Source organism: Homo sapiens, chromosome 3 (genome assembly GCF_000001405.40).
Source record: "Homo sapiens chromosome 3, GRCh38.p14 Primary Assembly".
Classification (NCBI taxonomy): Eukaryota; Metazoa; Chordata; class Mammalia; order Primates; family Hominidae; genus Homo; species Homo sapiens.
The window spans coordinates 178,697,437-178,721,521 of record NC_000003.12 but is presented as its reverse complement, the minus strand read 5'-3'; the positions used below and the strand labels follow the sequence as shown (position 1 = coordinate 178,721,521).

At 40.1% G+C, this 24,085-nt stretch overlaps 1 protein-coding gene and 1 long non-coding RNA gene across 6 annotated transcripts in view, besides 2 other annotated features; one reads left to right on the top strand and one right to left on the bottom strand.

Annotated features, from left to right (window-relative positions):
* KCNMB2-AS1 (KCNMB2 antisense RNA 1) overlaps positions 1 to 24,085 on the top strand; it is a 334,939-nt gene that overhangs the window by 138,884 nt on the left and 171,970 nt on the right. The window lies entirely within an intron of this gene.
* The window catches only part of KCNMB2 (potassium calcium-activated channel subfamily M regulatory beta subunit 2), a 307,994-nt gene that overhangs the window by 122,908 nt on the left and 161,001 nt on the right, over positions 1 to 24,085 (bottom strand). The window lies entirely within an intron of this gene.
* Positions 9,454 to 9,654: a silencer, noted in NCBI's record as "peak4947 fragment used in MPRA reporter construct". NCBI's record gives its function as "represses an SCP1 promoter by STARR-seq MPRAs in K562 erythroleukemia cells {active_cell/tissue: K562}" and the evidence as "EXISTENCE:reporter gene assay evidence [ECO:0000049][PMID:32103011]".
* Positions 13,631 to 13,840: an enhancer, noted in NCBI's record as "active region_20855". NCBI's record gives its function as "activates an Ori minimal core promoter by ATAC-STARR-seq in GM12878 lymphoblastoid cells {active_cell/tissue: GM12878}" and the evidence as "EXISTENCE:reporter gene assay evidence [ECO:0000049][PMID:35858748]".

Below are 24,085 nucleotides of genomic sequence, written 5' to 3'. Positions count from 1 at the left end.
ATTACTTACAATCACCATAAACTGCAACTATTGAAATATCCTTCAAGGGTTGAATGGATAAACCACTGTCCTATAGCTCTACAATGGGATACTACTCAGCAATAAAAAGTAACAAACTATACAAACAACAACAAGAGCAAATTTCAAATGCATTATGCTAACTGAAATACTGGTACCAAAACAGAGATACAGATCAATGGAACAGAACAGAGCCCTCAGAAATAACGCCGCATATCTACAACTATCTGATCTTTGACAAATCTGAGAAAAACAAGCAATGGGGAAAGGATTCCCTATTTAATAAATGGTGCTGGGAAAACTGGCTAGCCATATGTGGAAAGCTGAAACTGGATCCCTTCCTTACACCTTATACAAAAATTAATTCAAGGTAGATTAAAGACTTAAACGTTAGACCTAAAACCATAAAAACCCCGGAAGAAAACCTAGGCATTACCATTCAGGACATAGGCATGGGCAAGGACTTCATGTCTAAAACACCAAAAGCAATGGCAACAAAAGCCAAAATTGACAAATGGGATCTAATTAAACTAAAGAGCTTCTGCACAGCAAAAGAAACTACCATCAGAGTGAACAGGCAAAATGGGAGAAAATTTTCGCAACCTACTCATCTGACAAAGGGCTAATATCCAGAATCTACAATGAACTCAAACAAATTTACAAGAAAAAAACAAACAACCCCATCAAAAAGTGGGCAAAGGATATGAACAGACACTTCTCAAAAGAAGACATTTATGCAGCCAAAAGACACATGAAAAAATGCTCATCATCACTGGCCATCAGAGAAATGCAAATCAAAACCACAATGAGATACCATCTCACACCAGTTAGAATGGCAATCATTAAAAAGTCAGGAAACAACAGGTGCTGGAGAGGATGTGGAGAAATAGGAACACTTTTACACTGTTGGTGGGACTGTAAAGTAGTTCAACCATTGTGGAAGTCAGTGTGGCGATTCCTCAGGGATCTAGAACTAGAAATACCATTTGACCCAGCCATCCCGTTACTGGGTATATACCCAAAGGACTATAAATCATGCTGCTATAAAGACATATGCACACGTATGTTTATTGCGGCACTATTCACAATAGCAAAGACTTGGAACCAACCCAAATGTCCAACAATGATAGACTGGATTAAGAAAATGTGGCACATATACACCATGGAATACTATGCAGCCATAAAAAATGATGAGTTCATGTCCTTTGTAGGGACATGGATGAAATTGGAAATCATCATTCTCAGTAAACTATTGCAAGGACAAAAAACCAAACACTGCATGTTCTCACTCATAGATGGGAATTGAACAATGAGAACACATGGACACAGGAAGGGGAACATCACACTCTGGGGCCTGTTGTGGGGTGGGTGGAGTGGGGAGGGATAGCATTGGGAGATATACCTAATGCTAAATGACGAGTTAATGGGAGCAGCACACCAACATGGCACATGTATACATATGTAACTAACCGGCACGTTGTGCACATGTACCCTAAAACTTAAAGTATAATTTAAAAAAAAACACTGAAAAAAAAGATTATATACCCTATGACTCCATTTATGTTATTCTGGACAAGGGAAAACTTTAGGACAGTGGTTGCCGGGGGCTAGGTACTGGGCAAACGGCAGAGATTTGAATACAGCAGGAGGGAATTTGAGGGAATTGAGAGAACAGTGTATCCTGATTGTGGTGATAGTTACATGACACACTATGTGTATTAAAATGTACAGAATCAAACACCAAAAAAAGAGTCAATTTTACTGTATGTTATTTTTTAAAGAGAAAAATGTATATTTGGACATAAAGATGGTAGAAGCTGAAAAATCTTGCTTATGTCTCCAGTTTGCAATGGTATTTTTGATGTGGGACAGGAGAGAACATAAAAATCATGAGTTTATTCCACCTGAAAATTATAACTATTCCTCAGCCAGGTTTTATAAGCAAAAAAAGAAAGAAAAAGGAATCAAACTTGGAGACAGAATATAGTGAAGCCAAATGCTTCCCACTGCCTTCTGATAACAGGGTTAATCACTTCTGAAGTGGCCTAGAGGCCCAGAACAGAGTCACACAAGCTGTTACCTATGAGTTATAAAGCCAGGCCATTCCTAGTTTCTGGGGATCAAGGTTAAATGTGGCATTGCCACAGCCTGTAGGGAAGTATCTTGAAATGGAATCCCCAGGAATGTTCAAAGATCATTCAACTCCCTTGGGTTTAAAAGACTGTAATAAGAGGAAAGCCCAACTTTAGTCTACTTGGAACAATGCCAGCCTCCTGTACAGGGTTTGGTATGCTGACAGGAGAAAGGGTGTTGACATGCAGTAATTGTTAAGGAAAAGAATAAAGCAACTGATGAAAATGCAAGAAGCTGGGCTAAGCTGTAAAATGTTGTACTCTATAAGCAGCCTTAATCAAGAGATAATAGATCCAGACTGATGCAGTGATGCTTCTGAAAAAGTCACAGGGCTGGGCTGGAGGCTGCGAGAGATCATTAGCTTAGAGACCCAGCCCTACCTCTAGATGTCCATAGCTTGTGTTAAACCCCATCTTATAGCCACTTGGGGTCTTCTGGCTGCTTCTGTGATGGGATAGATCTCATTAGACTTGGGCTTCCAAATCCAGGACTATGAGTTTAGAATGAGACAGAGATTTGTGTCTCTGATGTTGGTATGACCATATATTTGCTTAGGTCAGTAAGATGCATATACGATATAGAGAAAAAAAATCAGACTAAAGTATGCTAAAGTGCTTCATGATTTGACTTTCTGAGAAGGTGTGGGGCAGTGGAAAGAAACTGGGAATTTGTCTAAACCCCAGCTCTATCCCGACTCAACACATGGTCTAGAGCAATCTCCCAGTGTATTCCAATTTATAGCTCACCTAATCTATGCCACTTCTGATATCAAACCAAGAAACTGAGTCCCAGAAAGACAAAATGACTTGTCTTGGGTAACACTGTCATTTAGTGCCATACTGGCTTTAACTCAGATCTTCTGATTCCAGAGTGGGGGAACACGAAGGAAATGATTTTGATCTTATAGGCAGGCCTACCTAACTTCTGAGAGAAAAAGTTTATGTCCTTGAGAGGAAGATTAGCTAGCTAGCTAGACACATGCATACATACAGAGATAGACAGACAGAAAAAAACTCAGGGACTTGGTAAGATTTTCTTGTTTGGTTGGGTTTTTACCTGCATACAGGGCAATGCAATGGAACGTAACACCTGCTAGAGAGGAAATTATAAGGAAAAGTTTCTTCTCAGGCACAAAGCTGCAAGACGCTTGTATCCCAAATACCTGTAATTTGTTAAGTGTTATTCTGATCTACTTCTATCACAGAAGGGATGCAGAGTGGCTGACACAAAGGGGCTCAGATCAGAGCCTGCTGATAGAAGGACAGCAAGTGAGAAACAGTAAAGATTATTCAGAGGGAAATGCATGAAAGTAAACTCTATTTACAAAAGGGATAAGTCATGTCCACTTATTATTGTTAAAGATGGTGGCAGTTTTGAAACAAAATAAGTAAGTCTCTAGAAATGGACGAGAGTTTAGGAATGGTGATCTCACTTCAGATTCTCAGGAGTCACCAAAGGTGAAGATGCCTTTTTTTTTTTTGTAAAGAAAGTACTGACAAAATTCTGACTCTGTTCTTCCTTCCTGCCTAAGTTCCCATAACTTATCTGCTTTGTCTACCTACTCCCCAGGTTATCCCGAGGCTGTCTTATTCATCTTTGTATCACTTATTAGACTACTCTAGTAGAGTGCCTGGCATACAGCAGGTACTCAATAAATGCTTGCTGAATAAGTTGATAATGTTGACTTTGTAAGCTCTAAAGGGCTACATAAGGAATTATTGTATCTCTTGAGAAGATGCCTCCCTGAAGCTATTTCAATTCCAGGAGTCAGTTATCACACTTAATGTGAACAGAAAGGGTGTTTAACTTCAATTGTCCAATTCTCTCTGGGAGAGTTGAAGCAAACTCAGGGGAGTTTGGACCTGGCAGACTGGCCCTTGGGCAGCATCCTATACTGAGGTTGCATTAGGCTTCATCATTAACTGGAGGGACTGGAAGCAATTTTCTAGCAATTTACAGCCAAGGAAGGAAATCAATTTCAGTTTAAAAGAAACATAATCAAAGGACGCAAAGTATGAATGTGAAGCCCTGGGCAGGATCTGAGGAGGTTAGAAATGAGTGAAAAAAATTTGGTGCAAGCAGGATGAAGGTAAATGGTTCATGAACACAGTGGTGCTGGAAGTCCATACTTTGGAAACAGGTGGCCAGTTTAAAAGCCCAGGCCAAACTAGATATGAAGTTAAAAAGCATAATAGAAATACACTAGTTTTATTCTCTTTAATTTTCCATTTATATATGGATACATCTTGATGTTGACATATACTTATTTTAGGTTAGACATGTTGGAACTTGAATAGTTCATCCTTTTTTTTTTTTTTAAGTTGCTGAAATTTGCCCAGACATAAAGTGTGGGCATAAGCCTGACAAGCTGATCATTTAACTTATTCCAAAAAGGCAGGGCTTTATGTTTTTTAAGCAATGCCTAAAGACTGACTCTACTATGACCTGTGGATATGAATGATATCCTGGAGAAAGAAGGGGTGTCCCTGGAATGTCCTCAGTCTCTGACTTGGGGGTGAAATATAATTTGGTCCAGGGACCCGTTCCTCCCAACTTCCTGCAGTTACTAATATGCATATATGTGGAAAACCTGTCCCTGAGATTCTCTCAAGGCCTGTGATATCAAGAAATGCAGGTTTTGGGATCATGCCTGTAATCCCAGCACTTTGAGAGGCCGAAGTGGGCAAATCACTTGAGGTCAGGAGTTCGAGACCAGCCTGGCCAACATGGCAAAACCCATCTCTACTCAAAATACAAAAATTAGCTGGGCATGGTGGAGCATGCGTGTAATCCCAGCTACTCCGGAAGCTGAGGCAGGACAATCGCTTGAACCTCGGAGGTGGAAATTGCAGTGAGCCGAGATCGTGCCATTGCACTCCAGCCTGGGCAACAGAGCAAGATTCCATCTCAAAAAAAAAAAAAAAAAAAATGCAGGTTTTAGTTCTGGCTCCACCTCTTACCAGTTCTGTGACCACTGATGAATTATCTTTCTGAGACTCAGTTTTCTCTCAATTGAATGGGAAGGGCAATAGTATGTAGCTCATGAGGTTGTTGTGAGGGAGATAAATGTGATAACGTGAATGTTTAACAAGACCCTGACGTATTGCAAACTCTCAACAAATATTTGATACTATCAATGTTATTATGTACATTCTCTGGGCATTCAGAAAAATTCAGAAATATCAAATATGGAAGAGAAGCTAAACTCACTGTTAGCGGGTATGTGATCAAACTGCAGAATGCTCTGCTAATTCTGTTAATTCAGAAGAACCACTGGGAGTTGGCTGAACTGTAAGCTTTGGTTAGAGAGATTTGTGTATTCAGTTGGGAACAACTGACAGTATGGAAAGATACCTCACAGGGTCAGAGGCACTGACAGGAAAGTCCTATAAAGCATAAGAGAGGGGCAGGCAGTTCTGGCATCTTATCCAGATCTCAATCAGTGCTGTTGGACCACTACAGGTCTTGGACTTGCTACCTGAAAAGTTGACTTCTGTTCTCCCAGGGCCCTGGTCTCCTGGTCAGGTTGGTTTAGTTGTCATCCTACCATGAAAGGGAAGCTCACTAAGCCAAGGGCCCTTTGTAACACCAGTGATAGGAAAAAAACTTCATCAACTAAACACACAGAGTACTTGACAAATGCCAACTGCATATAGTGTTTAGTAAATAATCACCACATGAGGAAGAGGCAGGTCCCAGTTGGATATAACAATAAAACCCATGACAGCAGTATGGTGTGGTTTCCAGATATGCTTGATTTACAGTAGGACTCAGAAACCAGAAAAGCAGCCTAGTGATATAGGTCCTAACTTGTTCCTCCTTGAAACAGTAGATCCTAGCTGAAAACTTAACTCAAAGACACAGGGAGACATACATCAAAATGTTGAGAAGGTGAACTTCAGAGGAATGGCTCATGTAAACCTTCCATTTGAGCCCACAGAAGGAATCTTTCTCTATTTGCCTCAACCAACCACCAACTTTCTGAAACCAAAAAAAAAAAAAAAACCAAAAAACAAAAACAACAACGAAAAAGACAATAGAAAAAACTATACCACTGCTCTTTCGGATCTGTTCTTCCCAAGTGATGTGAGTGTTTAGGAGTTAAATTTTCTTCTGTGGCTCCTGCAATCCCCCTAGAATAGAGCTCTAAAAGCAGACAGACAGCTGTTTCAGAAAAGCATGAGGCAATAATCAGCCCACATTGCTTACCAAAGCACAAAGCTCTCGGGAACACAGGCCATTATTCAAATCAGACCCAAACTCTCTCTTTCTCTCTTTTTAAAATCCTCAAACAGAAAAAGTAGGCTGGAACCTTCAAAATCTCTCTGTAATTTTCCTCCAAAATAAACAAAGTGGTCAGATATTTTTTTCTTTTCAGTGCTATAAAAATGCCCGGGCAGACATATAGAATTTCATATTCAGGAATGAAGAGCTTCAGGAAGCTGCAGATGCAACTAGCTGTTTTTTCTAAACAGAAGTCTAGATGTTTTTTCTAGACAGGAGACTGGTGCAGCCGTGATTTCCATGTTCAATCTCTCCTCAAAGTCTAAGAAAGTGGGCCCAGCCTCAAGGGCAGAAGCTTTGCCAACGGCTGACGAACATTAGATTTTCCCAAAATGACCCTGAGTCTGCTCACTACTGTTTAGAAGCCTTCACCAGAGCAAAACTGCCCACCTACCTGTGAACAAGTTCAAGTGCTTTCATTTGACCCAAAAGAGTCTTCTCATTATTATTGCAACCTATCTTTCCAAACTGGGCTCATTCACTTCTGCGCACTGTTCCTTGTCATTCACTAACCATGTCGTGCTTTCTCCCGAGTCTACATCCTTACACATGCTCTTCTCCCTTCCAAGAACCCTCCCCAGTCATCACCTGGAAAATTCCCACTGGTCCTCCAAGACCTAGTGCAAAGTCACTTATTTTGTGAAGCTTCCCAGATGTCTCAGGAAGAGATGGCTGCTCCTTCTGCTGCCTCAGCCAACACTGTGTCCCTCCTCATGAGTCCAGGAGAGCACTTGTAACTTACTTGTTTGAGGGTCTGTCTCCCCAGTGAATGCCTCCAGAGCAAGAAGTGTAGCTTATGTCTAGCATAGGACCGAATGCATAGCAGGTCTGAAGGAATATTTGCTCAATGAATAAATGAAAAAATATTGAAATGAAATACATGGTAAGTCCAGAAGCACTGAAGAAGAAAGAGTGTGTCTGGTATTTCCACTGTGTGTGTGTGTGACTGAAGGAAGAGGCATGCAGCTCAAGTATAACCGGGAATCTATTCCTTGAAAAATTAATACCAAGTTTTCTGGTCAGTAGCTACTTTTCTGAAGGGTTTTGTTTTTCACAGGCAACAGAAAAACTTGAGAGTTTAAGAAGATAATGATAATATTTTTATATGCAAGCAGAATTTTTCTTAAAAACATGAGCAGACTAGTAAGACAACACAAATGCTTTTCCCACAGGGTTAATGATGAGGGATTCATGCATTCCAGGGGCTATATTACTTGGGAGCTTCCACACAGGTTTGCTCCACAGAGCTGAGATTTTTATAATGATGGTCATTCTCAGAGCACCTCCAAGGGCCTCCATTCATTAAATTGTACTAAAGATAGACCATGTGAAGGTGGCTTTGTGTGGAAGCAGCGTCAGAGCATGGCTCATCAGGTAGCTTTGCAGGGCCCATGGAGAGCCTTGGGGCAGAGACCATACCTTCTGTGTGGCAGAGACCATACCTATGGGGGTGGGGTGAAGAGTGGAGGTAGGGGGCAGGCTGGCAGAGCAGGAGTCTACTGCAAGATGTTGCCCCAATTGGATGTGGAACTTTGGACAGAGTAGTTCATATCTGTGTTTGGTTTCTAGATTTGTTGGACCAGATCTATAAAGTAATCTCTAAGAAATATTTTTGCTCTAGCAGTGGGTGACTTCAGGAGTAGGTAAATCTTTCTCTTAATTTGCAGCTACAACATTATTTTTCTTATTTTGTCTGCCCATTAAACATTCATGTGGACCAGCTTTACAGAGCTGGTTTTGTTTTGTAATTAACAGTGATTTGACTGTTCAGATATTTCCCAAGAATGAAATGCAATTTTTCTGAGTATTTGCCCATACCCAATGTGAAAGGATAAAAACATGAATCTGTAACCACAGGATGAAGAGGCTCTAACATTTACAAAGTAATCATTACATGCTAATCACTATACAAGCTTTCTCAGTCCTTACAGTAACCAATCCAAAGCCAGTTTTAACCTTATTTTATGAGGAGGAGACTGAGCGTGGTATAAGATCTCTCAGTCCATTTCATATTTGAACAGGCCCTTCCTCTCTTTTCCCAACTAAATGTGTATGTATATGTAGCAAGAGGAATACTAAAGACGAAAAGTAGGAGAAACCTGGGTTCTTGTTTCCAGCCCCCTGTGGGCTAGGGCTATGAGTTTGCCAGTTGCTTTAACTTTCTATTTAGTTTTAGTTTTTAAAATGGTGATGTGTAATACCTAGTATTCCCAATTCACAGATGTGTTACGAAGTTCACAGAATAAAATATAAAATCTCTTTGAATAATATAAAATACCACTCAAAACTCCAGATTATATAGAAAGGCAGTTTGCACTGTGATTGAGGCAGAAGTCTCTGGAGTCTGTCTGAATCCTGGCTCTGATATTTATCACGTGTACGACCTTGGGCAAGTTAACTGACCTCTCTGTGCTTAGGTTCCCCATCTGTAAAGTGAAGATAATAAAAGCAGCAAATGCTTGTAGGGTTCCTAAGAAAATAACACACACCGACAACACCTAATATTGCAGTGCCTCACATACAGTGTGCGTGTAATAAATGTCAGCTATCATTGGCAGAATTTTTTCACTGGGGTGACATGCTACAAGAGCCAGAACTCTGTTTGTCTCATTCAACATCTTCAGCACCCAGACTCTCGGCTGGCACCTGGGAAACATTCAATAAATATTTGTCGAGTCAACGTAACCCCACACTTATTCACATGACTGCAACCTCCTTCAACTAGACTGTATGCAGTATGAACTGAACAGTCTTCAGGGAATATCTTGGGATAGGTATCCAAAATAACAGGTAAATTTCTAATCAGTTCCAAGTTCCTCCCATTATACACAACATCTACCGATTATGGCACGTAGGTGGTTAGGCCCCCTAGTAAATATGTTACTCTTGTTATTTTCTGTTGGGAAAAAAGTGATACGGAGCTACCAGTACACTATTAATCTCCTGGTTTGAATAGGCATGCTAAGGTAGAGACCTTTTCAAACTTAGGTGGCACAATAGAAGGATTAAACTCACAACATCAAAGTAGAAAATACAGAATTGGATACTCCCTACTCACAGTGACAACGGCAAAATTTTGTCTGACAGAGAGAGGATGGAACTGAGGGAGCCAACATTTGTTGCATGTCATCAGAGACCAGATAAGTGATTTTAGTTAATCCTCATAACAACGCAGCATTTTACACTTTCCACTCCACAGATGTGGAATCAGAAGTTCAGAGAAATTACATAATTTTCTAAGGAAACAACATAATTTGAAACAAGGTCATCTTATCCAAAACCAGTCCTTTCTGCACTACGTTAAGCCTGGCACATAGAAAATTCTCAGTAAGTGGAGAATATTAAAGGAAGTTTTATTTTATTTCTTCTGGCTGGCCAGAGATGATGGTGGAAGTGATGTTTAGCCTGACTTTAATTTTAACTGGGGCTTTTGGACTGTTCTGAAGACTCTGTTTTCTCTGGGTTTCGTATAGGAAGTGGCTTTACTGGCTGAGACTGCTCCCAGTCCCAAGTAAATTTAATTCCGAAGTTGGTTCTTATCCTGCGTTCTTAGTGTCTTATGACCAAATCTTGTCTCTTGGTTCCTAAAGAATAGGTAGAAATCTGTCTTGGTGGGAGAGACAGCGCAAGGCCACAATGATTGTCTGGAGCTATATTAAGGGGTGATGGGTATGGTAGAAGTTTTGGGAGCTCAGGATTAGTTAAGTTCTCTCTGTGCAGGATGCAAGAATAAAAACAAATTGCTGCAGACCAAATGCCAGGCACAATATTAAGAGTTTTTACTTGTACTGTGATATTTAATCTTTATAACTAAAATATTTGCAAATATACACAATTAAAATAAATGCAGTATGGCATGGTGGTAAAGAGTTTGTGCTCTGGAATACCCTGGCTTGAATTTTGACTGACTATTGGCAAGTGCCATTTTCTCATCACTTTTTCTCAACTGTAAAAAGAATATTAATCATAATATCTACCTCAGGTGATTTTTATGAGAATTGATGCAAAGAAAACTTAATAAACTATTTATATAAACGGATAGGTATAGTTCCTGGAACAGAGCAAGCACTCAGTTAATGTCCCCTTGATAGCAATCTCCTTGAGGGCAGAACCCATGTCCATTCAATTCAGCCCCGTGTCTCCAGCTCCTTCCGTATAGTAGGCACTCAGCAAATATTAAATGTGGGTTGAGTAAACAAATGAATGCATAATGGATGTAACAGAAGAAGCATTAGAAGGACCTCAGATCACGAGGCTGAAGTAAAATATCAATACTATAAGGAGGTTTAATGTTAAAATAAAATTAATAAGAGCCTCAAGGAAAACTTTCAAGGTGCTTTCTACCCCATTTAGTACTAGGGAGAATTTGAATGTTTTAAATGGCTTTCATCTGCATAATGGCTTTTCTTTGGCCTCCTCCTATACACAGAGACACGCACACACACTCACGCACACACATACACATATGAGTGGGGGAAACCTCTGAAAACAACCTGCCTCCAGGCCTTGGGCTTAGTTATAGCCCTCTATAAACAGGGGTTCCTATAGGTTGGGGAGGAGAAACACAAGTTTGGTTTCTTCTAGCTGGCATGCAAATCTGGAATTTAGGATTATTGAGGTCTGAGGCTTGGAATAAGGCACCTGAGAATTGTGTCTTCCCAATAAGGTTCTCTCCAAAGTCCTAGACTGCCCTGCATTCCTTTCCCCGGTTTGAATATGGGTAGTTCAAGGTAGTACTTTCTTACAATGGGGAAAGAAGAAAAAAACCTCAAGGGAAGTTCAGAAGTGAATATACCTCTGGGCCCTGAAAAGGCCTTGCTCTGAGAATGAGCTGAAGTGAGCCCCTGCTTGACTCCAGTGGCTTGAGGGTGCCATTTAGTTCATGCCTTGGATTCCTCCTGCCAGTGGTAGGGAAAAAATAAAACTTTATATTAACTAAATTAATATAGTTAATTTTTGGTTAACTATATTACTTCAGGTCCCTGGAGGCTACCTGCCAGGGATGGGAGGTTATCTGAATGGATAGGTACACACAGGAGCTTCAGAGTTCAGAGAAGGTAAATGTGCATTTCCAGAGCTTAGACTGAGATTTAAGTGCTCGGTATAAATTGCTGTTGATCCTGGGCTCCTCTGAAAGTTTTTGGACCCTAACTATATTTTGCACAGGGACCTTATCCATACAATCTCAGCTGCTTTATCTGTAAAATCAGTGAAAATATTTTTCTCCCAGAATTGTAGTGGAGATGAAACAAGATGTACATAGAATGGCTTAAATGAGCAGTACAAATAAAATCTGGGGAAGACTGGGAAACAAATACCAGGATTGCCTAAACTGGTGTCTTAATGTGTTAATTTTTAAAAATTCTCAACTTCCACTAAAACAAAATTTCTACTTGAAAATTTTGTGAGTTCATTTGAAGTCACTGAACTTAACTGAATGAACAAAATTCCATTCTGCATAATATTCTGCAATTTATACTTTTTACCATTTCAGATGTGCCCTTTCTGATGTTTGAGTTAGGGAATCGTACTGTATATAAAACAGTCTTAAAAAATCCACATTGTGTTAACCCGTCTTTTGCTATTGACCTAGCACTGACAGTGACTGCTGCTAGTGACAATCTCAGAAAACCAGTGTAAAATTAAATGCCATCTTCTGTGGTTCTGTTTCAATACTTTGCCATAGCCTATAGCTAGAAGTTTAATTCAAGACTTCCCTAGAGCTGAAGCCCAGGTGATTTAGCCACGATGCTTGGAAAGCAGGAAAACTGTTGCCTGGCAACCGGAAACATTTGAAAATATCCAGTACATTTTCTGTTTCGCGTTCACAGCCCTCTTGATATTCCAATACACATAGCAGATGTTAATCCTCCTGTTTGAATTTTAAAGGCATGAAACAGAGTAGTGAAAAGTGGAGACAACGTTTTCATTTGCAAACTAACAAATTGGCTTCGGCTCCAAATCTTTGGGAATTTGCAGAGACTCATTTTCTTCATGTTGATTTTCCCTTCTTCTTCCCCTAAATAGAACTAGTACACTGCTATTTTTTCCTCCTTTAACCTATAAGAGGAGTTAAGCTTCTTATAAATCAGAAATGCTTGCTGGGAATGTTGATAAAGAAGGTAAAGCTAGAAAGAGACTTTAGAGTATTATTTATTCATTCGCTCATTCATTCATTTGTTCTTTTACTCACCCATTGGTAAATTAACAGATGCATGCTGTATTGTTAGTAATTAAGAGACAAAAACCAGACACACTTAGGTTCAAATCTATCTGTCTGAATGACTACATTTGAAGTTATTTAACCTCTTACTAAGCTTCAATATCCTCTTTGTAAAAGGGAATAATAATAGGAATTGTGTTATAGGGGCTTTTTTTTGCTGAGAATTAAATGAAATAAAGCAGGTAAAGGGATCAACATAGCTCATGGTATAGAGGGAGCACTCAATAAGTTGTAGGTGATGCTATTGCTACTGTTGTTATTTTTGTTGGTAAAGTCCCACTCTAAGGCCACACTATGGTATGGAGGTTTCTATAACTTCATGGAAAACAGTATAAGCTCTGCCATCAGACTACCTGTATAGCTTTGAGCAAGTTTTATACACTGTAAGTGCCTCAGTTTCCTCAGGTGTAAAATGAGGTAAACAATAGCATTTTACCCCACAGTTTGTTGAGAGAATTAAATGAGAGAATGTTTTTTAACAGCATAGCCCAATGCCAGGCACAGAGAGCTAGTGCTCCATGAAAGCTGGCTTCCATCACCATTATCATTATTACATATTACCACCACTGGTAGTACAAAGATGAATAAACCATGGTCCCTGTTCTTGAGCAGTCTTGTGAGGGTATATGCATTCACTGGAGCACACTTAAAAATGATTACCTAGAAGGGGGCAGGTATGATAATAGAGCTACAAACAGAAAGCCCTAGAAACCCCAATAAGAGTATTATCCTCCTAAGGCAGACACTGAAACTATGGTTCTCTTAAAAGATAAACTTTGGCATGTTAACATTTTAAAGAGTTTATTTGAGCAGATAGCAATTCATGAATCAGTCAGCTCCAAACTGGAAGTGATTTAGGGCTCTGTCCAAGAGGCACAAAGGGAAGGATTTAATAGGTTGAATGTGGAAGTAGAGCAAATAAATTATTCGATTGGTTAAAGTTTGAGCAATTGCCTTACTTGGACTGTCCTGGTGGGAAGGTCCAGACAATATAAGTAGTGGTTAGTTGGCCTCCTGTGATTGGCTGAGCTGAAGTTTTGTTTTCTTTTAAATTAGCCCCTTACAGGAAATGAATCTGAGCTAGGTTTCTATTTGCTTAGGTAGGAACTCAGGGTGTGAGAATCACCTCAGTCTAATGGCTCCCATTTAATGATTTTAACAGTTTTCACTGTTGGCTGCATATTAGCATCGCCTTTAAAAATTACTTATGCCTGGGTTCTCCTCCCAGAGATTCTGAGAATTGGCACAGGGTATCATCTGGGCATCAGGAATTTTTAAAGCTCTCAGATGGTTTTAATGGGCAGCCAAGTGCAGAATTACTGTGAGGTAATCACCACTTGATCCTGATCATCTTTACTGCGAAATTGGCACAAGTATCTGAGAGGAGCTGTGAGGTTCTTATCCTTGTTATCTCTACCCCTGCCAAGAGCATGGCACTTCAGAGTACCAACTGCAACAGAAGCAAAACTTCTGATTTTTCCAAGTAGTAGTGCTGGCATGCAGATACTGACAGTAATTGCTCTCATTTATTTAGAATATTTTATCTCATTTAACCATCCCAACAACTCTGAGAGCTACTTTTCTCTTCTTTACACAGATGAGAAAACTAATGATAAAAATATTTAATTAGTTTACCCAATGTTTCACAGCTGGTAAGTAGCAGATGTCTCTGTTCCACTCAACTCACCTCAAGGTTTATACCAGAGGCCCTGAAATTTGACCCTGAAAATAAGTATCACTTGCCACTCATATCCTCCCTTAGGCCTTTCTCCTTCTGTCTCCACTTGCACTTGCAAATGAAAGAGACTAAGTATTCTTTACTTTTTTTCTTTTTGCTGTATATGTATATATATTTATTACACTTTAAGTTCTGGGATACATGTGCAGAACGTGCAGGATTGTTACATAGGTATACATGTGCCATGGTGGTTTGCTGCACCCATCAACCCGTCATCCACATTAGGTATTTGTATTCTTTCTGTGAGTCCTCTGATGGCTGCGTTTTGTGTTGATATGGTAAATAAGTCAAGCTAACTGTAAAGCTTCTTTGGTAGAGGAGTCTGGTGTTTTCCTGAAGGCACAGAAACATTGGTGTGGACTATAATGCGCACTTGCAAAAAACTGGGGATTTGGGAAGGTGCAGATAGCAAGTTATATTAGAGTTGGGTAGAGTCTGGGGTGCAGAGAGAGCTGTTCTTAATCATCAAGTGATAAAGTTGGGGCCTGGCAGAGGGATTACAAACTGGGAAAGAATGACTTCCTCTTTTTTATGAAGTTCCTGAGGGCTCAGTAGTGCTGGCTTGGATTGGGAGTTGAAAGTTTGGAGATTAGAAAGGGGTACAAGGCCAGATATTGTGTCTAGTCAAATGTCATCTGCACCCATTGGGAAATAGCGTGGACCTTCTAAATGCTCCAAATGTGGTTATTTCTACACAAACAAAGACTAGATGGTGAGGGTTGCTAATGGCACCTTACCTTTGTCAAGGGCATATAATTGCAAAAAGGAATGTCAGCTGTTGTGTGGGGAGGTCCTCCCTGTGCCAGGCGTTCTGCATACATTATCTCATTTAATTATTATAAAATTCCTGTGAGCTTAGTATTATCGTGACCTTGCTACAAATAGAAACACGGATTCTTCAAGACTCAGTACTTTGTGGAAGATCAAGCAGCTGGTAATTTGAGAAGTAGGCAAATAAATACCTTCTGTCTCTGGTTGCTGACACCAAAGGCAGGAAATGTGGGTTGTCAGTGCATGTCTTGGAGTGGTTATTCATGTTCAGCCTTGGGCAACTGACTGTGAGCTCCGACAAGACAAAATTTTCCCCTCCCTCCCTACATATTTAAAGGTGTGTCTTGGTCTGATGTGTGGGTGGTAGAAGCAGGAGCTTCATAGAATGAAGGCCAAAGTATGTCTTCTACATTTGTGCCTTTCTTCCTCCGCTTCTATGTCTATGTTTCTATGTAATGTTTTTGGCTGAAGGAGATGGGGTTTTATTTCTCCTACCACTGACTCCAAGGTATTTGACATTCTGTTTCCTGGAGGAGATGGCTTTGACTCCAATTTTGGTATTTCCTTTTAACTGTGATTATTTCAGATATGCTGAATATAAATTACCATTCAAAAGCATAGGAATGAATAACAATAATTTTTAAAGGTTTTGTTGGCAAAGAAAAGGCTCTTACAGACAACTATAAAAAGCATTCTTTTTTTAAGTTTTTCCCAAAGTGCAAACATCATAACCCTTCTGGAGTGTGTATGTATCTGGAACTTATTTTTAAGCATTCTTTCCTGTGTGATTAAGCTCTAATTTGAACAACATTTCTGTAATCTTTAATTTTATGAAAATAAAACCTACTCTCTCATTTATATTACTTGAAGATAGACAATGAAACAACTTTTCATAATTTCACAGTACCTGATACAAGTTCTTGGCTAGGCCAGCTTTAGCCTATGGAACGACCTAAGAGACAAGTGAGGATATTATCTCTTACCCCCAAGAAGCTGCTGCACAGTGGCAGCATGGTTTTCACAGGCCTGAGATTCATTCCCTTCTTTGCTGCTTGGGATAGGAAGTGACTACCTAGAAAATTGTCCAGGGAATCACCCCTCCATCAATACTGTTCAGGGACTCAGAATAGGCCTCTGCTCAAAAGTCTGAGGTGAAGCTACCAGAAGGGCTGTATAGGGATGTAGTGGGTGGGCAGGTTCCCAGGATATGACTGGTTTAGGCTACCAGCTTGAGGATTGGGGTTGGGAGCATGAGATCTGGAACCATGGATTTATGGGAGAGAGTCTGGGTTTTGGCTTAGAAAACCCTAGAAAGGAGCTTACAGGAGAGTTTATGCTAACTTGGATTTGAGTTTGAAGAGGAGGAAAGGATGATAGTGGTGATGGTGGTATATACCTAGAGAAGTAGAAATAGAAATGAAAGAGCCTGGAGACTTGTGAAAATTTCATCTTATAGGAGTCAGGAACTGAAGATGGTTGGAAAATATCTTGGCCATTCAAATATACCATTTATTCATAGCATTTAATGAAACGACCCTGTGAATAGCCTGGGAATGAGCATGATGCAAGAAAGGTGGACTTTAGTCTTGGTTCTCTCATTAACTGGTGTTGAGTTTAACAAAGCCAGTTAACCTCTTGAGTCTCATGTTCTTAAATTGTAGGAGAGGAAGTAAGGTGATTGCTTTCTTGTTCTCCCTTCCAACAAGGTATCTTTAAAAACAGATTTCCATCTTTGTGAAGGGAAGATACTTGTCTAGAGAAGCACTGATGAAGAAAATTTTTTTTTGCAATGATAGAAATATTCTATAACCATGTGCCAATAAATACAATAGCCACTAGCCCCATATGACAATGGAACACTTGAAATATGGCTAGTGAGACAGGAATATGGAATTCTTAATTTTGTTGGATTTAATTAATTTAGCCTTGTTTGGCTAATGACTACCATATCTAGACAGATATCTAAGTCTAGATAAATTTGAAACACATAGTATGCTTCTAGGTTTGGAATGTATGCAGGGGTGATACCCAGAATATTTTACAGCTAGCATAAAAAAGGGAAGAGACTATCTCTTATTAGTTGACCTCTCTGCTTGGGAGCTGCCACGATGAGTTTGAACTGTCAGAAAATGTTTGTTTGGGAGTGTGATTTACATAGCAAATCAAACATAGGGCATGTCAATTTTTACAATGACACTTGAAACCTGGTTGTTTTCCCTGGAAGATGGAGATTTTAAATAAAATTAAACATAAAAAGACTTTGTCAATTTCTAATGCCATATCTTTCAAATTCCAGCATTATAAAGTGAAATGATTCTTTTCTCCAAGTTCTGATGTCAATTGGTCTATAAACGAAAGCATTTTCTTTATTGCTTGAGAGATTCACCACAGACCTGACTCTTGAATTTTTTCTGGACTTAAAACTCTGGGAATTGTGTTACTTTATGCTATCATTTAAACCACCTTGTTCCTCACTCTAACATCTTATAATAAATGTGTGAAGTTACTCACAGATGAATTCCTTTTGATTACTCACTGTTTAGAAAGAGATTGGGTCTACAGCAAGCTGGGTTCCACATGGAAAAGCTAAGATAAACACACCCATGTAAGTAGATACATGATTACATAAACAAGGCCTGTGGAGAATGTTCATACATTCATGTGACTCTCAAAGTTTTTATGACTCATTTATGCTATATATATTTTCCTATAATTTTGGTCCAGCATTAGCTGAGTACTGTTAGCTAAAGAATAACAGTTTCTCTTTGCTGTGATTAAAACCCTTGGTTTCTTTATCAATTTCAACATGAATAATGAACACGAACAGCTACTTTTTTTGGGGGGGTGGGTGCCTGAATGGGACTTACCAGGGTCTCCATATCATCCCCTGACTGAAATGACCAGCAGGAGGCCAGAGGAGTACAAATGGAGAACTAAATACCTTCCTTTTCCTTTTTTCTCCCCTTTATCTAGCCACTTCTGTTTTTCTAAAAAGCCTTGGGAATAATGGAATGGTGGAAAGCATGTAGGCAAATCCCAACTCCAAAAACATTCCAGTTCTGTGGCCCTCCACTCAACCCCTTTTCTCACTTGCAAAATGAGTCTATGAGTACCTGATAGAGATAAGAATGTATTCGGCACTTAGCAAATAGGAGCCCTGAATAGATGGTTATTAATATTATTGGTCAAGAACTCGTGGTCATTGTCATCATCTCTCTCCTTTTTGTTTATTTACTGATTCTCTTTCCCTTTTTTCCTGTTAATATTAATCATCCTTCAAATATTTTTCTTGACTATCTTAAAACTTAAAGGGAATAAGGCTATCTGTACAATTAACTACATAACTAATCTTCATCCTTCTCCTCTTGTCTCCCAACCTTTCCTTGGCCTGAAAATACATCCCTACCAACAAGCCCATTACTATATACATGATGATAAAGTTGCAGGAAGCAGGTAGGATAAAGCTACTTAAGCAGAAGTAAAGGAAAAGTTGTTAAGAACTCACTTTGTATCAGGCAGTGGGACTAGATGCTTTTAGTAAGGAAGAATGTCTGGCGTATCTGCCCTAACTCCACCTGCTTCCATGAACAAAGATTTGACAGTGATGGTCTCAGACTCGGTTCATATCCCTTGATTAACTGTTTTTTAGCACTGATATTTGTGTAGATGTGAAGGCTATTGGAGCTTTAAAAAATCATTAGATGAAATTTATTTTTGCTTGAAAAGTCTACATAGAATGTAAGTGGCATTAATTAAGTGAGTTTTGATAGGCAGTCACAGTAAAATCCTGTAGGGGAGGACCTTTGGCTCTTGTAATACAGCTCAGTGGGGCTCAGTTTCACACTCAACCAGGCAAATTCTCTCATTAGCTTTATTTATTTATTTTTATGTATTTCTTTATTTTTAAATATATATATATTTATTATACTTTTTAAGTTCTAGGGTACATGTGCACAAAATGCAGGTTTGTTACATATGTATACATGTGCCATGTTGGTGTGCTGCACCCATTAACTTGTCATTTACATTAGGTATATCTCCTAACGCTATCCCTCCCCCCTCCCCCCACCCCACAACAGGCCCTAGTGTGTGATGTTCCCCTTCCTGTGTCCAAGTGTTCTCATTGTTCAGTTCCCACCTATGAGTGAGAACATGCGGTGTTTGGTTTTTTGTCCTTGTGATAGTTTGCTGAGAATGATGGTTTCCAGCTTCATCCATGCCCCTACAAAGGACATGAACTCATCATTTTTTATGGCTGCATAGTATTCCATGGTGTATATGTGCCACATTTTCTTAATCCAGTCTATCATTGATGGACATTTTCGTTGGTTCCAAGTCTTTGCTATTGTGAGTAGTGCCGCAATAAATGTACGTGTGCATGTGTCTTTATAGCAGCATGATTTATATTCCATTGGGTATATACCCAGTATACCCAAAATGGTAATGGTATGGCTGGGTCAAATGGTATTTCTAATTCTAGATCCCTGAGGAATCACCACACTGTCTTCCACAATGGTTGAACTAGTTTACAGTCCCACCAACAGTGTAAAAGTGTTCCTATTTCTCCACATCCTCTCCAGCACCTGTTGTTTCCTGACTTTTTGATGATTGCCATTCTAACTGGTGTGAGATGATATGTCATTGTGGTTTTGATTTGCATTTCTCTGATGGCCAGTGATGATGAGCATTTTTTCATGTGTCTGTTGGCTGCATAAATGTCTTCTTTTGAGAAGTGTCTGTTCGTATCCTTCACCCACTTTTTGATGGGGTTGTTTGTTTTTTTCTTGTAAATTTGTTTGAGTTCTTTGTAGATTCTGGATATTAGCCCAATGCCATCCCCATCAAGCTACCAATGACTTTCTTCACAGAATTGGAAAAAAACTACTTTAAAGTTCATATGAAACCAAAAAAGAGCCCTCATTGCCAAGTCAATCCTAAGCCAAAGGAACAAAGCTGGAGGCATCAGGCTACCTGACTTCAAACTATACTACAAGGCTACAGTAACCAAAACAGCATGGTACTGGTACCAAAACAGAGATATAGACTAATGGAACAGAACAGAGCCCTCAGAAATAATACCACACATCTACAGCTGTCTCATCTTTGACAAACCTGACAAAAACAAGAAATGGGGAAAGGATTCCCTATTTAACAAATGGTGCTGGGGAAAGTGGCTAGCCGTATGTAGAAAGCTGAAACTGGATCCCTTTCTTACACCTTATACAACAATTAATTCAAGATGGATTAAAGGCTTAAATGTTAGACCTAAAACCATAAAAACCTTAGAAGAAAACCTAGGCAATACCATTCAGGACATAGGCATGGGCAAGGACTTCATGTCTAAAACACCAAAAGCAATGGCAACAAAAGCCAAAATTGACAAACGGGATCTAATTAAACTAAAGAGCTTCTGCACAGCAAAAGAAACCACCATCAGAGTGAACAGGCAACCTACAGAATGGGAGAAAATTTTTGCAATCTACTCATCTGACAAAGGGCTAATATCCATTCTCTCTATAGCTTTAAAACTTTGTTTGAAGAGTAGTTTAAAGCATCAACAATTTCTTGTTGTTGGTTTTTTTTTTTACACTACTCATCAAAAAGATATTGGTGATTGGGGATGAGTTAGCTGGAAAAAGTAATGAGCTCTTGTTTCTATGTCACGAGTAATATATGTTGCAAATATCTTCTCAAATCTCTTCCTAAATCTCAGTCATATTAGGCATGGGAGGATATTTAGAATTCTTATTTTCTGTAAGGAAATGGCCATGTGAGGATCCAGAGCATATCTTTTCACCTTCTTGGGCTTGTTTTCCTTTTGAGAAAGAAGGGCATTGGGCTAGCCCAATATCACTGTATGGCCTGAAAAGTCCTTTCACTGAATCTAAGTTCCAGTGGTCCAGGGATTTAATTTACCTCCCTGGTAAGGATAGGAGGCTATAAGAGAGCTTGTGTATATACTTTCCAAAATATATGTGTACTTTATTAAGCCTTTAGGCTTAAAATGGAATTTTAAAGAAATCCTATAAATGTTTTAGACAGTGAAGTGGAATTATTTAGTTGATAGGAGATAAGTACTGAATTGGTTGTGAGAAGATCTGGTATTTTTTTAAGCTAGTTTAGTATCCATAAGCAACTAACATGGGCATTAATATTTGCATTGTAAAATTAATGTAATTATATCTGCACAGAATTATTTTGAAAATTAAAAGAGGCAAAGTGAGTGTCTTCTGTAGGCTTGAGTCAAGAACTCTCAGTCATCTTGGTAATACTGGCTTGGATAGATGCCTAGAGCTGCTGGAAAAAGGCCAGAACTTTCAGATCTTCAGAGGAAAGGCACCGACCTTGCATGGGCCATTGCACACTGGGACTCATTTTTGAACCACAACAGCTCCAGGGGAACTGGTGAGTTCAATTGGCAAGGAGAAACTCTTTCTTGCCACAGGCCTCTAGAACCCCGGCAGGAGGGGAACCCTCGACCACCACATGACACTTGAGGTAGCAGCAAGAGCTGCCTAGAGAAGTGGTGGGATGGCAAGCCAGCTGATGTGAAGCCCAGAGGGTTTGGTGCAGGAGTGTCTGTAGTGGAGCACGGTCAGGGACAGCCATCCCCCTAAGCTCAAATTGCTCTCATAGGAGACTTTAGCCCTAGGGGAATTGTCAGTTCTGATCTCCGCAGGGTGGTCTTGGACATCAGACGGGGTTGGACTGACCTGAGCACCCCTTGGTCTCCTGGCCTCTCCCAGGGCCCCAGCCTGGTCATGCCAGCTTACAGAGCAGTTTTGGGTGCCCGGGGGGCCCACACCATAGCTTCTGTACTGGCAGACCTTACCTGACTGGCACAGAGCTCCAGTGAGCCAGCCCCTATGGCCTCACACCAGCCTGTATGCCCCCTCCCCATACTGCAGCTTTCCCCAAGCCCACATCAATTCCTCATATCACTTTGCTGGTGTGTGTCTTCACAGGTGGGTTTTGCATTACTTTGCCCATCAGGATGCAAGAGTGCAGTCCACTCCCCTTCACTCACTAACCACCATTGCAGGGAGCCTTGGCTGGCACAGAGCCAGCAAGCCCCACCCTCACCAGAGCCCTGCTTTTGCACTAACACTGTGCAGACAACAATGGATCCTTCTATGCCCTGAGTGATCCTGCTTGCAGGGCATGGAGAAGGCACCCAGGCCTGAGCTAGTCAGCATCCTGCCCCAAGCCAACACCACTTCTAGTGCAACAGCACACATAGGCTCCAGCAGGGGCCCTCTGTACCCCCTGGTTGCATTGCCCCCACCACTGTGGTGGATGCCCACAGGATGGCAGGCAGCCCTGCGTCTGCTAGCACTCTGCTGCAGCTGCTGCACCTTGGCCCTCCCAGCACAGTGGACTCCAAACCTTGAAGAGCCAGATAATAAAGTTGGGGCCGAATATGAGTCCCCCAGAGTTGGAGCATGCAGTCTAGCAGTTGGGAGCTGAGGGTTGGCCCCCTAAAATCTCCCAGAGACAAAGTCAGTCAGCTGAATCCACCTTATACCACAATTAAATCTCCAAGGTTGTCCAATAGAATAAAAGAAAAAAATCCAAAAATCAGCAACCTCAAAGATTGAAGGTAGATAAACCCACAAAGATGAGAACAAATCAGCACAAGAAGTCTGAAAACTAAAAAATGCAGAGTGCTTTCTTTCATCCAAACAACTGCATCACTGCTTTGGCAAGGGTTCTGAACTGAGCTAAGATGGCTGAAATGACAGAAAATAGAATTCGGTATATAGATAGGAAAGAAATTCACTGAGCTACAGGAGTATGTTGAAACCCAATGCAATGAAGCTAAAAATTATGGTAAAACAATGCAGGAGTTGGCAGACAAATAACCAGTAAAAATAAGAATGTAACTGACCAGATAGGGCTAAAAAACACAAGAATTTAATAATGCAATCACAAGTATTCATAGCAGAATAGACCAAGTGGAGGAAACACTCTCATAGCGTGAAGATTGGCTTTCTGAAATAAGACAGGCAGACAAGAATAGAGAAAAGAGAATGAAAAAGAATGAAGAAAACCTCCAAAAAATATGGGATTATGTAAAGATATGAATCTGTGACTCTTGGTGTTATGAATCTATGACTTATTGGTGTCCCTGAAAGAGATGGGGAGAATGGAACCAACTTGGAAGACTTATTTCAGGATGTTTTCCATGAGAACTTCCCCAAACTAGCTAGACAAGCCAACATTCAAATTCAGGAAACACAGAGAACCCCAGTAAGCTACTTCACAAGATCATCCCCAACACACATAATCATGATTCTCCAACATCTAAATGAAAGAAAAGATGTTAAAGGCAGCTAGAGAGAAAGTTCTGGTCACCTACGAAGGGAAGCCCATCAGACTAACAGCAGACCTCTTAGCTGAAACCCTGTAAGATAGAAGAGATTGGGGACCAATATTCAACATTCTTAAAAAAAAAACTTTTAACCCAGAATTTCATATCCAGCTAAACTAAGCTTCATAAGAGAAGGAGAAATAAGATTCTTTTCTGACAAGCAAATGCTGACGGAATTTGTTACCACAAGACCTGCCTTATAAGAGCTTCTGAAGGAAGCACTAAACATGGAAAGGAAAGACCATTACCAGCCACTACGAAAACACACTGAAGGACACATACCAGTGACACTGTAAAGCAACCACATAAACAAGTCTGCAAAATAACCAGCTAACATGATGACAGGATCAAATCCACAGATGTCAATAATAACCTTAAGTGTAAATGGGCTAAATACTCCAAATAAAAGGCATAGAGAGGTAAGCTGGATAAAGAACTAAGACCCATTGGGCTGCTGTCTTCAAGAAATCCATCTCACATGCAATGACACACATAGGTTTAAAAGAAATGTGTGGAGAAAAAATATACCAAGCAAATGGAAAACAGG